This window comes from Homo sapiens, chromosome 22 (assembly GCF_000001405.40).
Source record: "Homo sapiens chromosome 22, GRCh38.p14 Primary Assembly".
NCBI lineage: Eukaryota > Metazoa > Chordata > Mammalia > Primates > Hominidae > Homo > Homo sapiens.
The window spans coordinates 12,131,059-12,150,181 of NC_000022.11; the positions used below are offsets into that span (position 1 = coordinate 12,131,059).

Consider the following 19,123-nt stretch of genomic DNA (forward strand, 5'->3'; position numbering starts at 1 on the left):
CCCAAATAGTAATCATAGTAATAATTTTAACATGTAATCAATATAAAAAATTATCAAGCAGATATTCTACGCTGTTCTTCCCACTCCAATGACAAAATCCAGTATATTTAACACAACACATCTCAATTAGGACTAGCCAGGATTTCAAGTGCTCAACAGTTACAGGTGGCTAGCGCCTACTGAATTGGACACTACAGTTTCAGTGCATTGAATTTCTATCCCACTTAGCGCTGATTAAAACTTCACCCTCTCACCTGATAATTATACTAAGATCTCAGAAAGTAACCCACTACAGGCAGTTTCAAGCCCTAATTTACCTCTAATTACTCTTACAGCAATGCAATGAATCATGATTTAAAATTTAAAAAAAAAATTGCTGTTAAATTATTAGTCAAGCGCCCAGGGCAATGGACAGTAAAGAAATAATGTAGGCCATGGGCCGAGATGACAAAACGGTCCTTTTATTTAAAGCTATAACAATAATCTGAAGCCAGCCCTGTAAAATAGACATCCATTGAAAAAGGCATGCTAGTTCTTTTGCTTTTTTGTGTACTTGGCCTCCTGTGTCCCTAAACAGACCTCTTCTCAGCAGGGTTTGCTCAGCAAGTCACTTGTTGAGTCTTGCGGTCAACAGAGGGGGTAGGGAATGGCAGGGGCTGGCATAGGAGTGAGGGGGAGGAGGCAAGGTGAGGGGGGCCAGGTGAGGAGGGGGGCACTTGAAGGGGAGTTCAAGACCAGCCTGGGCAACATGGTGAGACCACCGCCCCTCACCGCCGCAATCTCTGGTCTCACTCTGGTCTCACACACATGCACAAATTAAATTTAATTTAAAAATTAAAAAATTGTTTTAAAATAAGTGAAATATTTACATGGATTATGTATACATTCATTTTGTAGAACTATAGATCCCATGTAACTGGGAACTCTTTACTCTTCTAACACAACATTTATTTAGCCACAAATAAAAGACCAGTGATGTAGCTTGTACACAAAAAAGTAAGAAAACACTGGTTAGGCTGCGGCAGGGGTAGGGGGAAGAGATCTACAAAATTAAAATTTTATTGGGAAGGATCACTAATTAGAATCAGAACAATTACTGCTTTAAAGTAGTTAAGAACAGAGCACAAGGAACCCAGAGAAGAAGCAGATATGATTCAGAGCAGAGCTTACAGAGCAGATGCTATCTGAGCCGAGACTGATAGAATAACATTAATAAGGGCATTCACGGCCATTTATTATCACTTAACTGCAATGCATTTGGTATAAGTTATTTCTACTCTTCATATCAACCATGGAAAATAATACTTATTCTCCTCTTTTGAAGTTAAAGAAGTGGTAAGTGGTCTAAGAAGATAAATTAACATACCAACACCATATAGCTCAAGTTCAGTGACTCAAGAGGGCCTGCGTCTCCCCAAGAGGTTGCTCAGCAGGCAGACGAGGTAGAGAGCCCTTCCAAGAAGTGACAGTGAGATGTGAAGGGTCTCAGTGTGTCTCTGAGAACAACAGAAACCAGTATGTAGGCCAAGTGGGAAAAGCCACGGAAGAGGCAGGGATTTCCTCTTAAGATAGCAAGAATAAACAGAGCAGGGCTGAGGGAAGCCATGGAAAACGGGCAGAATACCATGCATTTAGTGAGAAAAAAACAACTTTTACTTTAGAAAGGGGGAAAGAATGGTGGTGGTCTAGGTAAGCCTAGAAGCAGAGGAAAGGGCAATGGAGAAAAAATAAACAAAATGTATGAGTCAGGGTTCTCCAGAGGGACAGAACCAACAAGATACACGTATATGTATAAGGGAGATTACGAGAGAGAATTGGTTCACACGGTTAGAAGGCAGTCCCACAATAGGCTGTCTGCCAGGTAGGGAAAGAGAGAAGCTAGTAGTGGCTCAGTCCAAGTCCAAAAGCCTCAAAACCAGGAAAGCCCGCAGTGCAGTCTTCAGTATGAGGCCGAGGGCCTGAGAGCCTCGGGGAAGCCGCTGGTACAAGTCCCAGAGTCCAAAGGCGTAAGAACCTGGAGTCTCATGTCCGAGGGCAGGAAGAAGGGAAGCAAGTGTCCTGCACGGGAAGAAGAAAAAAAGAGAGCCAGAAGCTTCAGCTAGTAAGGTTATCCCATCTTCCTCCGCCTGCTTTATTCTATACGGTGCAGCGTGTGTACACCACTTCTGTGATATTGTTCCTAATATCCATGGGAAGAAAGAGTGATGTTTCTCCCAATAGCGTATGGGGGTGTACATCCCCTGTGATATTATTCCTAGTATGCAGGGGCAGGGGAAGGATGACATTACTCCCAATATCGCAGAGGGTGTACTCCCTGCCTTGGGTTATTGTTCCTAATATTTAGGGGATAGTGGGTGATATTACTCTCAATATCACAGGGGGTGTGCACCCCCGGTGGTATTCTTCCTAATATGCGGGGTGGGGGGAGAGGTTGATATTACTGTCAATGTCACAGGGGGTGTACATCCTCCCGTGTTATTGTTCCTAATATCTGGGGGGGGGAGAGGATATTACTGTCACTATCACAGGGGGTGTAGACCCCTTCAGTGATATTGTTACTAATATCTGGGGAGGAGAGGATGATATTACTGTCATTATTGCAGGGGGTGTACACCCCCCATGGTATTGTTCCTAATATCCGGGGGGGGGGAAGAGGAAATTACTGTCAATATCACAGTGGGTGTACACCTCTTCTGTGATATTGTTCCTAATATCCAGGGGGGAGAGGATATTACTGTCAATATCGCAGGGAGTGTACAACCCTTCTGTGATATTGCTCCTAATATCCGGGGGTGGGAGAGGATATTACTGTCAACATCGCAGGGGGTGTACACCCCTTCTGTGATATTGTTCCTAATATCCAGGTGGGGAGAGGATCATATCACTTTCAATATCGCCAAGTGTGTACATCCCCATTGTGATATTGTTCCTATATTTAGGGGATAGTGGATTACATTACTGTCAATATCGCAGGGGGTGTGCACCCCCCCATGGTATTGTTCCTAATGTCCAGCAAGGGAGAAAACACTACTACTTCCAATATGGCAGGGGGTGTACACGTCCTATGCGATACTGTTCCTATATCCACGGGGGAAAAGGATATTGGGAACAATATTACAAACAATATCACAGGGGGGTGTACATGTCCTGAGATATGAGGAGTAATATCACCCTCTCCCCCTCTAGATATTACAAACTGTATCACAGAGGGGTGTAAACCCCTTGCGATGTGGAAAGTAATATCATCCTCTCCCCCACTGGATATTACAAATAATATCACAGACGGTGTACATGTGAGGTGTTTATGATATTGGGAGTAATATCATATCCCCCAGTGGATATTATGAACAATATCACAGAGGGGTGTATACACACTCTGCCTTATAGGGAGTAATATACTCCTCTCCCACCCTGGATATTACAAAAAATATCACAGAGGGTGTACACACAGGGTGTTTATGGTATTGGAAGTAGTATTATCTCCCCCGTGGATATTACTAATAATATCACAGGGGTGTGTACATCCCCTGTGATACAGGGAGTAATATCATCCTTTCCCAGCCTGGATATTACAAACAATATGGCAGGGGGCAGTACACCCTGGCGATATGTGTAGTAACATCATCTCCTCCCCACGTGGATATTATGAACAATATTCTAGGGGGTTGTACACCCCCTGCAATATGGGGAGTAGCATCATCCTCTCCCCCACTAGATATTATAAACAATATCACAAGGGGGTGTACACTTCCTGCGATAAAAGGAGAAATATAGTTCTTTCCCCCCAGAGATATTATGAACAATATCACAGGGAATTGTTCTCCCATGCTATATGGGGAGTAACATCTTCATCTTCCCCCTGGATATTACGAAAAATAATGCAGGGGAATGTAAATCCCCTGCGATATGGGGAGTAAAATCATTCTCTCTGGCCAGGAGCGGTGGCTCACACCTGTAATCCCAGCACTTTGGGAAGCCAAGGCGGGCAGATCACGAGGTCAGGAGATCGAGACCATCCTGGCTAACATGGTGAAACCCCGTCTCTACTAAAAATACAAAAAATTAGCCGGGCGCGGTGGCGGGCGCCTGTAGTCCCAGCTACTAGGGAGGCTGAGGCAGGAGAATGGTGTGAACCTGGGAGGCGTTGCTTGCAGTGTGCCAAGATCAGGCCACTGCACTCCAACCCGGGCGACAGAGCAAGGCTCTGTCTCAAAAAAAAAAAAAAAAATCAAATCATTCTCTCCCTCCCTGGATATTATGGACAATATCACAGGGGTGTGTAGAATGAATTTCTAGAATATATTTGAGGAGGGTGACGGGCGGTGTGTGCATGCTTCATGGCCTTATTCAATTAAACACTCTGCTCTCAATTTATTGCTAAATCCTCCTTGAGCCCTTAGATTTCATAACGGTTGTCGCGACATTTTTCTGGATGTAGAAAACGTTCCCATTTCTTGCCACCTCATGGGCTACACCTTGACCTAAAGTTTTTATGTAGATACTTGTGCTTACTCTGCGGCCTTTCCAGCGTTTGCTGAAGATGGAGGTATTTAGGCTGGGTAAGAGGTGGTGAGGTAAATTGCGGTTTATCGATTATAGAACAGGCTCCTTTAGAGGGCTATAAAGCACCGCCAAGTCCTTTGAGTTTTAAGCTGTTGCTTGTAGTGTTCTGGCCAACAGTTTTGTTGATCTAACTATTCGAGTTTAGAGTTAAGCATAGCGGGGTATCTACTCCCAGTTTGGATCTTAGCTATTTTGTCTTCAGAATATTAAAGGCACCTTCGTAGTTATTTCAGCTGGGGTGTTTTTACAACTTTTTTACAACTTATTTAGAAACTTTCAGGTTTCTAAATGTATGAATGAACCATAATATAAGCCTCAGCCAATACAATGCTGGTTAGGCCTCCTACTGTAAAAAGGAAAATAAATCCCCGGGCTCACAGCATTGCGGGGGATCATTTGATATTACCGCCGTGAAGTGTAGCTAGCTAGTCAGCTAAAAACTTTGACGCTAGTAGGAATAGCAATAATTATAATAGCAGAGGTGAAGCAGGCTCATGTATCCACATCTATCCCTACCGTAAATATACGGTGGGCCCATACAATAAACTGTAAGGATCCAACTGATCCTATAGCTCACACTAGGCCCATATACCTGAATGGTTCTTTTTTTTCCAGAATAGTATGTTACGACGTGGGAAATTATCCCAAAGCCCAGTGGGATGAGGATGTAGATTTCAGGGTGACCAAAGAATCTGAATAAATGCTGAAATAAGACAGGATCACCTCCGCCAGCCAGGTAGAAAAAAATAGTATTAAGATTGCAGTCAGTTAACAATATAGTGATGCTGGCGGCTAGGACTCGGAGACAAAGGAGTAGAAGAACTGCTGTAATTAGGACTAATCAGATGAAGAGGGGTGTGTGATATTGGGACATGGCTGGGGGTTTTATATTAACAATTGTGGTAATAAAGTTAATAGCCCCTCAAGTAGAAGAAACACCTGTCAAGTGGAGTGAAAAGATAGTGAAATCTACAGAGGCGCCTGCATGTGTTAGGTTTCTTGCTAAGGGAGGAGAGACTGTTCAGCCGGTTCCAGTGCCGGCTTCTACTATAGTGGATGCAAGTAATAATAGGAAGGAGGGTGGGAGGAGTCAGAAGCTCATATTATTTATGCAGAGAAATGCTATATCGGGGGCGCCAATTATCGGGGGACTAATCAGTTGCCAAGACCTCCAATTATAGTATTACTATAAAGAAAATTATGACAAATGCATAGGCTATAACAATGACATAAATTTGATCATCTAGTAGAGTTCAGCTCGAATAAGGCTTAAAGCTGTACTGACTATCCCTGCTCATGTGCCAAATAATAAATATAATGTCCCGATATCTTTATGGTTGGTTGAGAATAGTCAACTGTCAGCCAACATAAATGAAGTGAGAAAAAAGGGTAAAATGACTGAGTAGGGCATTAGACTGTACATCTAAAAACAGAGGTCAACGCCTGTTTTTACCAGTCCCAAGGTGATTTTCATGTTGAATTGTAAATTCAAAGAAGCAGCTTCAATCCTGCTTCTCTCACCCTTTTTCCCCCAGCGGCTGGAGAAGTAGATTCAAACCAGTTGACTAGGGAGTTTAGCTGTTAAGTTTTCATGGGTTTAAGTCTCATCAATTTAGTAAGGACTTAGCTTACTTAAAGTGATTGATCTGTATTCAATTGACCAAGGGTGTTCTGTATCTGAGAAAGTACATTTCAGGGTCACCATACAACAACTGTTCAAAAAGGCCTCCAATATGGGACAGTCCTATTTATTATCTCAGAAATATTCCTCTTCGCTGGATTCTTTTGAGCATTCTACCATTCTAGCCTAGCCCCTACTCCAGAATTAGGAGGGCATTGACCCCCAACAGGTATTTCTCCCCTTGACCCCCTGGAAGTACCTCTCCTGAATCCATCTGTATTACTTGCATCAGGAGTTTCAATTACTTGAGCCCATCACAGCCTAACAAAAAATAATCAAAAACATACAATCCAAGCACTACCTGTTACAATTATATTAGATATTTACTTCACCCTCCTACAAGTCTCAGAATACTTCAAAGCTCCCTTTGCTATTTCTGATGGTATTTATGGCTCAACATTTTTTATAGCTACAGGCTTTCACAGAATTCACGTCATTATTGGGTCAACATTCCTCAGTCTGCCTTCTCCGCCAATTAAAATACCACTTTACATCTAGTCATCACTTTGCCTTTGAAGCCGCTGCCTGATATCGACACTTTGTAGATGTAGTATGACTATTCTTGTATGTTTCTACTTATTGATGAGGATCTTACTCTTTTAGTATAAATAGTACCATGATTTCCAAAGTTTTGATAGCATCCGAAAAACAGTAATTCACCTAACATTAACCCTAGTAATCAACACCCTATTTGCCCTGTTACTAATAATTATTACATTTTGGCTCCCACAACTTAATATATATATGTAGAGAGAGAGAAAAATATATATATATGTATAAAATAAATATATATAGAAAAATCTAGCCCTTATGAATGCAGATTTGACCCTCTATCCTCTGCCCACATTCCCTTCTCCATAAAATTCTTTCTAGTAGCCATCACATTTCCCCTATTTGAGTTAGAACTCGCCCTACTACTACCCTTACTGTGAGCCCTTCAAACAATCTGATACTAATAATCCCTGCGATATGTGTAGTGACTTCATACTTCACCCCCCCGGATATTACGGCCAATATCAGAGTGGAGTGTGCACCCCCTGCAATATGGGGAGTGATATCATCCTCCCCCCACTGGATGTTATGGACAATATCGCAGGAGGTTTACTTTCTCTGGGTTATGGGGAAAAATATCCTCCTGTTCCCGCCTGGATGTTAGACATATTTAGAGGGGGTTGTCCACCCCCTGTGATATGGGGAGTAGTAATATCCTCTCCTGTCCTGGATGTTATGGACAATATATAGGGAGATGTACAATCCCTTCGATATGGGGAGTAATATCATCCTCTTTCCCCTAAACGTTATGAACAGTATCACAGGGGGGTGTACACCCCCTGCAATATCTGGAGTAGTATCATCCCCTTCTTCCCTAAATGTTACAGAGACTATCACAGGGGTGTGTACACCTTCTGAAACATGGGAATAATATTCTCTTCCCCTCTGGATGTTATTATGGACAACATTACAGCCGTGTGCACCCTCTATGATATGCAGAGTAATATCATCCTCTCCCCCCCAGATGTAAGTGACAATACCACAAACGGGTTTACATCCCCCGTGATATGGGGAGTAATATCATCCTCTTTCCCACTGAATATTAACAATATCACTTGGGGATGTACAACCCCTGTGATATTCGGAATAATATCTTCTAATCCACTGAAAATTATAAACAATATCACCAGTGTACACTCCCTGTGATATTGGAAGTAATATCATCCTCTAATCCCCTAAAAATTATGAACAGTATCACAGGGGAGTGTATACTTCCTACTATATTGGGAGTAATATCATCCTGTCGTCTTCTAAATATTATGAACAATATTACAGGGGATGTAACACTCCCTGCGATATGTGGAGTAATATCATCCTCTCCTTCCCTAAATATTGTGAACAATATCACAGGAGGTTGTACACAATCTGCGATATTGTTTGTAGTATCCAGTGGGAAAGAGGATGCTATTACTCCCCATATCACAGGGGGTGTACACCCCCACTGTGATATATTCAATAACATCCAGAAGTAATATTACTGACAAAATTGCAGGGGGTGTAAACCCCACCTGTGATACCGTTCCTAATATCCCGGGGAAGACAGGATGATATTATTCCCAATATTGCAGGGGGTGTACACCCACCCTATGATATTGTTATTAATACCCAGGAGGGGAGACAATGGTATTACTCACAGTATCAAAGAGGTTGTACAGCCCCCCTGTGATAGTTTTTAATATCCAGGGGGTGTATACCACCCTTGTGATATTGTTTCTAATATGTAGGGGGAAGGACAATGATATTACTGTCCGTATCACAGGGGGTGTACAACAAGCCCACCGGGATATCATTCCTAATATCCATAGGAAGAAAGAATATTATAATATCACAGAAGTTGTACACCCCCTCTGTGATATTGTTCCTAATATCAAAGACAGAAGGGTATGATGTTCTTCCCAAAATCACAGGAAGTGTATACACACCCTGTGCTATTTTTCCTAATATCGAGAGTGAGAGACAATGATACTTCCAATATCGTAAGGACTGTACACTCTCCCCGTGATACCAGGTGGGGAAATGTTGATATTACTCCAAATGTCACAGTGGGTGTACACACGTTTTGCGATATTGTTCCTAATATCAAGTGGGGAGGAGGATTGTATTACTCCCACCATATTACTCCCCACACCCCATTATACTGTCCTTAATATCCAGATTTGGAGAGGATGATATTACTCCCAAAATCTCAGGAGGTGTAGACCCCTTCTGTGATACTGTTTCTTATATCCAGGGGAAGACTAGATGATAGTACTCCCAACAGTGCAGGGTGTTACACGCCACCCCCCATGATATTGTCTCTAATATCAAGTGGGGGAGAGGGTGATATTGCTCCAAATAGTGTAAAGGGTGTACACCAGCACTGTGATATTATTCCTAGTATCCACAGAAGGAGAGAATGGTATTATTTTTAATATCACAGAGGGTGCACATCCCCCTTGTGATACTGCTCCTAACATCCAAGGGGTAGAGGATGAAATTACTCCCAATATCACAGTGGGTATACACCTCCCCGTGGTATTGTTCCTAATATCCAGGGGGTATAGGATGATAGTACTATAAATATTGCAAGGGGTGTACACCCCTTCTGCTATTGTTACTAATATCCGTTGGGGGAGTCGATGATATTACTTCCAATATCACAGGGCATGTACACCCCCCTTGTGATATTGTTCCTAATATCCTGGGAGGAGACTACGATATTACTGGCAATATCGCAGGGTGTGTGCATTCCCGTGATATTGTTCCTAATGTCTAGCAAGGGAGAAAATATTACTCCCAATATGGCGGGGGTGTACACTTCCCATGCGATATCGTTCCTAATATCCATGGGGGAAAAGGATGATATTACTCTAAATGGCGCAGGAGGTGTAAGCTGCCCCTGTGATATTGTTCTCAATATCCATGGGGGGAGAGAATGATATTACTCCCAATATCACAAGTGGTGTACAACCCTCCTGTTATATTATTCCTAATATCCAGGTTGGGAGAGAATAATATTACAGGTAAAATAGCAGGGGGTGTACACTCTGCCTGTGATATTGTTCCTAATATTCCAGGGAAGAGTGGACAATATTACTCTCAATATCGCAGGATGTGTACACCCCCTTTGTGATATTGTTCCTAATATCCATAGGGGGAGAGGGTGATACCACTCCCAATAGTGCAGAAAGGTACAGCCCCGCTGTGATATCCTTCCTAATATCCAGAGGGGACAGGATGATATTACTCCCAATATCACAGAGGGCATACACCCCCTCCCCATGATATTGTTCATAATACCCAGGGGGTAGAGGATGATATTACTCCCAATATCGCAGTGGGTGTACACCCACCCTGTGATATTGTTCCTAATATCCATGTGGAAAGGGTATAAAGTTACTCCCAATATCACAGGGGTTGTACAACCCCCTTGTGATATTGTTCCTTATATTCGGGGGAGAGACAATGATATAGCCGTCCATATTGCAGGTGGTGTACAATCCCCTGGGAATTTGTTCCTAATATTCAGTGGGGAAGATGATATTAATTAAAATGTCACGGGGGGTATACAACCCCTTTGTGATATTATTACTAATATCCAGGGAAAGAAAGAATATTATTCCCAATATAGCAGGGGATGTACACCCCTCTCTGATACTCTTTCTAATATCCCTTTGGGGAGTCTATAATATTACTGGCAATATCATAAGGAGTGTATACCCCCCGTTATATTTTTCCTTATGTCCAGCAAGGGAGAAAATATTAATCCCAATATGGAACAGGGTGTACACACCCATGAGGTATTGTTCCTAATATCCAGGGAGGGAAAGGATGATATTACTCCCAATGTTGCAGTGGTGTATAACCCCCCGTGATATTGTTCCTAATATCTAGGTGGGGAAAGTACAGTATTACTCCCAATATAGCAGGGGTTGTACACCACCTTTGTGATATTGTTCTACATATCCATGGGGAAAGAAAATGATAGTACTCCACAATATCACAGGTGGTGTACAACCCCTTGTGATACTGTTTCTAATATCCATGTTGGGGGAGGATATTACTCCCAATATTGCACGTGTTGCACAGACCCCCTTTGATATTGCTTGTACTATGCAGGGTGTGGGGGGAGAGGATGATATTGGGAGTAATATCACCCTCTCTCCCTGGATATTAAAAGCAATATTCAGGGTGGTCGACACTTCCTGCAATATTGAGTATAATATCCTCTCCCAACCTGCATATTAGGAACAATATCACAGGGGCATGTACACTCCCTTCCTTTCACCATATACAAAAATCAACTCAAGATGGATGAAGGACTTATGTAAGACCCAAAACTATATAAACCCTAGAAGAAAACTTAGGAAATATCATTCTGGACATAGACGCAGGCAAATATTTCATGATGAAGGTTCCAAAAGCAATTGCAACAAGAAGAATTGACGAGTGGGACCTAATGAAACTAAAGAGCTTCAGCACAGCAAAAGAAACTATCAACAGAGAACACCCTACAGAACAGAAGAAAATATTTTCAAATTACATATCTGAAAAAGGTCTAATACTTAGCATGTATAAAGAATCAATAAGCAAAAAACAAACCCACTACAAATAGGCAAAGAACATGAGCCCCCACATTCATCATCCTCAAGTCCATGTGCAACTTCTTTCTGGATGCTGGACAAGGACTTGTGTACCAAGAGGGCACTGAACGGGTTAACACTTAAGCTGTCTGTGGATTCTTTTTTCAAAAGACAAAGTATGTATGGCAAACAACCATATGAAAAAATACTCAACATCACTAATCATCAGAAAATCAGAACCATGAGATACCATATCACACCGGTCAGAATGGCTATTATTAAAAAATCAAAACATAACAGACGGTGCCGAGTTTGTGGAAAAAAGGGAATGCTTATACACTGCTGGTGGTGATATAGAAAGGAGACAGGGAAATACTGGGTAGAAGAGAGTGGTTCCCTGGCAAAGCCGTGCCCACAAGCCTGGAAACCCATGGCCCTAAATGGGAACAGGCATTCCTGCTTTTGCACCCAAAATTGTCTTTCAGCTCACCATGCACCCCCTGTCCTGTACCCATATATGCCCCAGACCCCAGGCTCCAGAAGCAGACAAGCAGATGAGGAGATGAACAGAAGAGCAGAATTGCAGAATGATGTGGCAGAAAAAAGAGAAGGAGCATCTGAATGCCAAGAGGAGTTTGGCTGGCAGTGGTTGGAGAGATCAGCCTCTGGATGGCAAAGCTCCCGGGGAAGATCATCTTCCCATTCCATCCCCTTTCCAGCTCCCCATCCATCCCATTGAGTGCCACCTCCACCACTCAATAAAACCCCCACATTCACCATCCTCAAGTCTGTGTGCAACTTAATTCTTTCTGGATGCTGGACAAGGAACTGGGTACCAAGAGGGCACTGAACAGGTTAACACTTAAGCCGTCTGTGGATGGCAAAGCTAAAAGAGTGCACTGTAACACATGCCCACTTGTGCTGTGGGAGTCGCAGGAACCCACCCCTAGACAGTACCATGGCCACTTGCCCTGCCTATTGCACCTGCCTGTCTGCATGCTTCCCTGCCCAGTAAGGGGTTTGACAGCACACACGGTGGCCAGACAAGCCACACCCCTGTTGCACATTCTGCCAAGGGGAGTCAGGGAAGTCTCCAGTTTCATCAGGAATGTAAATTTGTTCAGCCATTGTGGAAGGCAGTTTGGAGATTTCTGAAATAACTTAAAACAGAACTACCATTCAACCCAGCAATCCCATTATTGGGTATATACCCAAAGGAATATAAATCATTCTGTCATAGACATATGCATGCATATTTTCATTATAACACTATTCACAATAGCAAAGACACGGAATCAATTTAGATGCCTGTTAACAGAAGACTGGATTAAAAAAATGCAGCGTACATACACCATGGAATACTACACACCTATAAAATAGGATGAAATAATGTCTTTTGCAGCAACATGAATGGAGCTGGATACCATTATTCTAAGTGAATTAATGCAGGAACAGAAAACCAAACAAACACTGCATGTTCTCACTTATAAGTGGGGGCTAAACATTGAGTCCACATGGACATAGAGAAGGGAACAAGAGACACAAGGTCTACTGTGGGTGGAGGGTGGGGGGGAGAGTGAGGATCAAAAAACTCCCTATTAGATACTACGTTCACTACCTGGATGACTACGTAATCTGTACACCAAATCCCATTGACACACATTTTACCCATATAATAAACCTGCACATGTACCCGCTGAACCTAAAATAAATGTTGGAAGGAAATAAAGTTACAACCAACTCTTGTACTATTGTGAGGAAACAATCATATGTGTTGACAAAAAATCAGCTACTAATAGATTTATAATAGTATATATGTAGCAGAAAAATATCAGATATAACTTATATACCCAAAAGTATGACTTAAAAACAGCATGACAATCTTTATGATGCGATATTGTGCAACTACTAGAAGCACATTTTCAGAGATTATTTATTAACATATGATAATGACTACATTGAGTGGTTTTTAGAAGCATGAATTGAAACCATGTATAAGCATGACTTTATTGAACTTATATATAACATTACACACACATTTACATAATTATAAAATAAGTATGCTCATGTTCATAATATGTATTTATTTATATTCATATGTAAGGCCAATAGGAAGTAATCTCTGTATCTGAGTTATTATTTCATAAATAATTTATGCTTGTTCTGTGAAAATAAAAACACTGCTATGGATCTTCCAAGTATCCTGAAAGGATACCATTTATAATTAAACAATAACAATTTTAGAAATAATTATTTTAAATAAGGCTATGATAAATCTGGTTTCATTGCACACTTTAACTTTGGAACATTTCATGAAGCGTCCCTTGATCACGACTCTCATATTCAGGAGTTTTTTGAGATCAAAATGGGACAATCAGTATGAATCTATTTTTTAGACATGCAAATGGATAACTTTAAATAGCAGTAGCGATATAATCAGAGTGCACAGTTGCTGTGGGACAAAACTTGGAAATGAGCATATTTTTAGATTCTTAATGTTTTACACACTTTAGCATTCCACAGCACCATTACATACTCATTTTTCTACTAGAATACCTTGGTAAAAATTCACAGTAGAGATCAGGCTTGTCCTTCATACATTAACTAATCAAGTAGGAAAGTGCAAATGAGAACACAGTGCCAAACATAGGCACCACATGGAAACAAGCATGGGACTGCCAGGAAGCCATTTTTGTAGCTTTGTAGCCCAATTATATTTTTCCTAATGTATTGCACACAAAACTTGGGGGAAAAAAAGAGGCAGAGAGAAAACAGGTTATATCGGCCCTATCTCACAATCCACAAGTTCATCCTATTAGAGGAGTAACTATGTAAAACAAATTTTATCTGTTGAATGTCCTATTTAGTTAATCGCAAAACTGTACGAGAACACACTTGTGACTTATTTAGCAGCTTGTTTGTTCGCTTTCCACTGGCTTCACAAATGTCCTTTGGAAATAGAATGTACATTTGGAACCTTGTACACCTTTTCTTTCTCCAGTACCCTCTTGTCACTTCCATCACTAAGGTGACAGAAGCAACTAAGGGCAATGCATTTGTACACACCTGGGTCAGAGGTATCCTCCAGGGGAAGGATCAGACCTGCTTGAAAGCATGTCGTTGGAATTGGGAGGCTTCTAGTAGCTATAACATAAGCACTGATGTTTACTCTTCCCTGCCCTCCACTTTGATCACTCTGGGAAAAGTTTTTTTTTAAAAAATCAATTGTATTGAAACATAATTTACATAAAATAAATACTATTTTAAAGTGCACAGTTTGCTGAGTTTTGCCAGATGTAACCATCCAGGTGAATAAAATTGATTAAACTGATCTTTCAAATAATAAATTAACTTTGCAATCTTGCTAGAAATTTAATTTGTTCACAGTTTATTATCCATTCTATGTACTGCTACATTCAATTGGTTATTATGTTTTAAGGACTTTTGAGTCTGTGTTTATGAGGGATAAACATCAAAGTTGTATAATGCCTTTGTCTGGATTTGGAATCGGCAATACTGGGTTCATAAAATAAGATAGGAAATGTCCCTTTAAATTTTCTTTTTTTTTTTTTTTTTTTTGAGACGGAGATTCACTCTTGTTGCCCAGGCTGGAGTGCAATGGCACAATTTCGGCTCTCCACAATCTCTGCCTCCCAGATTCAAGCTATTCTCCTGCCTCTGTCTCCCGAGGAGCTGAGATTACAGGTAAGCGCCACCATGCCCTGCTAATTATGTACTTTTAGTAGAGACGGGGGTTTCTCCATGCTGGTCAGGTTGGTCTCAAACTCCTGACCCCAGGTGATCTGTCCGTCTTGGCCTCCCAAAGTGCTGGGATTACATGTGTGAGCCACTGTGCCCGGCCCTTAAATTCTATTTCTTAAAAAGAGTCCGTTCAAGATTGATATTATAGATACTCCTCAACTTACAATTGTCTTATGTCTGAATGAACTCATCCTAAATTGAAAATATTGTAAGTCTAAAACGCATTTAATATATTTAACCTACTGAATATCATGACTTAGACTCGCCTACCTTAAACTTGCTCAGAACACTTACATTATCCTACAATTGGGCAAAATCATCTACCACAAGGCCCATTTTAAAATATTCAGTATCTCATGAAATTTATTGAAAACTATACTGATAGTGAAAAACTGGTCATATTGATGCTCATCATTAATGTACACAGATGAAAGCACCATTATCAAGTCAGAAGAGCACAAGTCAAACCACTGTAAGTTGAGGACTCTCTGTACTTTCTTAAATGTTTGATAGAATTCACCTAAGAAAGCATGTAGCCTGTAATTATAGAAATATTTTTAAATTAAAAAAAAATCTTCAATACTTAGAGAAGCTATTACTTTTTCTATTTCATTTTGCATCAGTTTTAAGAATTAGTTTTACAAATAATTTCCCATGTTATTTTAATTGTCAAATGTATTGGCCTAAAGTTTTCATAATTATATTGATGTCTGTAGGTTCTGTAGTTACATCCTCTATTTAATTCCCATTATCTACATTATGTAGCTTCTCTAATTTTTTTCGAGATAAATCTTGCTAGCCATTGTTTATTAAAAATTTTTTTTTCAAATAACCAATTTGTGGGTATATTAATTAGCTCCACCTTTTGTTATTTGCTATGTTGTTGGTTTACATTTTTATCTTTATCATCTTCCTTCTTCTTAATTTGGATATACTTTGCTCATTTTTTAGCCTCTTAAAAAAGAACCTAAAGGTCATTGATTGAAGCCTTTTATTTTCAATATATTACATGTATAAATGTACCTTTAAGAAACGATTTATCTGCATCCCACATTTTATTAAGTTCTTAAAAATTTTTCTTTCACTTTAAACTATTTTTTTTGTGTGTGAAACTTTTCTTGGCCAATGGGTTTTTCTGAAGTATTTTGTTTAATGTTCAAATGTTGGGGTGTTATTGTACATATCCTACTGTTGTCCATCTCTGGTTCATGATACAATGCATGTTCTCCATTGCACTTAGATAACATGCCTCCATGTCTCTGGAGAATTCCTCAGTCTTTCTAAAATGCTTTTGATGAATACTGGCAGTTATTTTGTAGAATGTCCCTCCTCAATTTCAGTTAGTCTGATGTTTTCTCACGGTTAGGACTAAAGTTATACATTTTGTCTAAGAATACCATAGAATTGATGTTTTGTCCTACTCAGTGCATCATATAAGAAGTTACATGAAGTTCATTTATCTTATTATTAGTAATGTTAACTTTGATCACTTGGGTAAGTTGACATCTCCACTTTGAAGTTATTATTCTATAATTATCTTGTGGGAAGATACTTTCATATTATGCAAATATGTTCTTTCCCAACATATATTCACCACTAATCTTAGCATCCCTCCAAGGTTCTTTCTTGCAACAATTATTACTATGATATTTGCAAAGTGATGATTCTTATATTTAATGTCTCCTACATTTAATGAAATCTTACTGTAATAAAATACTACCCATTCTCAATCTTTGGTTTATTATTTATGTCAATATGGATTTTTTTTTTTTTGAGTTGGAGTCTGTTTTGTCATCCAGGCTGGTGTGCAATGGTGCGATTTCCACTCACTGCACTTCCACCTTCCGGGATTCAAGCCATTCTCCTGCCTCAGCCTCCAGAGTAGCTGGGACTACAGACATGTGCCACCATGCTCGGCTAATTTTTGTATTTTTAGTGAAGGCAGGGATTCACCACATTGGTCAGGCTGGTCTCGAACTCCTGACCTCAAGTGACCTGCCCGCCTCTGCCTCCCAAAGTGCTGGGAATACAGGCATGAGCCACCGCACCCGGCCTGGATTAATTGAAAATTTTCTTCTGTAGATTGTAATATATTACTATTGTTATCTATTTTATTGCCCCAATTTTCTCAAATTGGGCTATGGAAGTTTATTCAAAGTGGATCTGTTTCCCTTTCACATCTTCTCCATTTTGTGAGCATTTCCTTACTTCCTAACATGACAAAATATTTCAAACTAATCTTGTATTTTCCCTGCCCAATCCTGATATCAAATATGTCCCCAAGGAGCCTTGGTTCCTTTAATTGGAGAATGGTGTTCTCATTGTTACTGGGATGATGTTGTTTCTAGACCCTTTTGTTAGAGGAGCTAGAAAATATATGTATGTATACTCACACATTTATACACATCTGTACTTATTTATACAATTATCCATCTGTACGTATACTAAAAACAATGATTTCATGAAGCTTTTGATCCCAATCCAACACTAGATAAAGACTATATAGGCCCATTTATTTGCAAATCAGCACATAAACATAGAAGAATTATTAACAATATAAGCTGTAGCTTATGCTAAATGTTGGTTGGAACAGACAATAAGTTATGGAGAACTTCAGAGGACACTAAGGTTGGATGGGATTTTGGAAGTTGTGCAGGTCAATGCCACTCCATCTATTGGCTGAGATTCACTAGGTTAATACATGAACAACAACAAAAATAATCTAGATCAGAAGTTAAAGATCATTTTATTGACTATCTGCCGTGTCTGTGCCATTGCAGTGTACTAGGTGCACTTACGAGTCCTCTACTTACAAACTGCTTTTCACAAAATAAGAAACTCCAGGCAAAGGTTCAGACATACGATGTTTGTTTTTAAAATCTTTCTACAGCCTTGGATCCTTTTTCCTTTCCTTCCTTTTACCCTTTTTAAAATGTGTTATGAGTTTTATCTTAGACTAACATCATCTGTAATGTTGCTATACGCCAGTATTCAGTTGCTGTGTTTGATGAATCATAAAATGGTGTAAAACTTCAATTAGTGTACTTTTTAAATAAAGTATCTATGAATGCATCCAGCAAAATGTTTATGATTTGAGTATTCACAAAATATTACTTTTCTCTGGATCTAACAATAATGTGAAAACCCAAAATGAATATAAAATATTAGCTAATAATAGATTTCAAAGTATTCTACAAGTATGAAAAATATATGATATTGTTACTTTCATATATGTAAAACATTAATCATTTTTGTCAACATAAACATCATCTTTACACCTAAACTTGTATTAATTCAATTAAGAGTTAATATAGTATCCTAAAGTCATCAAATATTCAAAAATAGGATGTATTCTGACTTGGAATATACATAAAATTAACTATTTTCAGCTGAGCAGAGTGGCTCATGCCTGTAATTCCAGCACTTTGGGAGGCTGAGGTAGGCAGATTGCTTGAGACCAGGAGTTTCAGACCAGCCTGGCCAACATGGTGAAACCCTGTCTCTACCAAAAATACAAGTTAGCCAGGCATGGTGGAACCTGCCTGTAATCCCAACTACTCTGAAGGCTGAGGCAGGAGAATCACTTGAACCCAGGAGGCAGAGGATGCAGTGAGCCAAGATTGCGCCACTGCACTCCAGCCTGGGTGACAGAGTGAGGCTCCATATCAAAATAATAATAATAATAAGAGTAATAATAATAATAACTATTTTCTGTGAGTCCAAAGATAAAATAGCATTACAGAATACCTAATAATCCTGAGTTTGGTTTTCTTGGTTTTATTTTTTCATTTAGTTTTGTTCACTTTGACCAGTGGGCTGGTGGTTCTTAGGTGCACCAAGGTTTTCATTTTTCAGTTCAAGATTTTAAAACCTTAATGTGGTAATTTCTCTAATTTTTTTGACAGTTACGTCCCAGGTTGCAAGTTAAAATAAAATTCCCATTTTACTAAAGTCCTTGGTTTATTAATGATTTTATAATGACTTAATATATAATTTAATGAGT

General features: G+C 39.9%; 1 long non-coding RNA gene and 2 pseudogenes across 1 annotated transcript in view; 2 read left to right on the plus strand and 1 right to left on the minus strand.

The window, feature by feature from the left end:
* Positions 1-445: 445 nt before the first annotated feature.
* LOC105379516 (uncharacterized) overlaps positions 446-19,123 on the minus strand; it is a 35,671-nt gene continuing 16,993 nt past the window's right edge. Inside the window, exon 3 of the long non-coding RNA XR_951179.3 lies at positions 446-2,058. This is a non-coding gene — a long non-coding RNA (uncharacterized LOC105379516). The remainder of the gene's footprint in view (positions 2,059-19,123) is intronic.
* On the plus strand, positions 4,876-5,932 carry MTCO1P34 (MT-CO1 pseudogene 34; annotated as a pseudogene).
* Positions 6,246-6,836, plus strand: MTCO3P34 (MT-CO3 pseudogene 34; annotated as a pseudogene).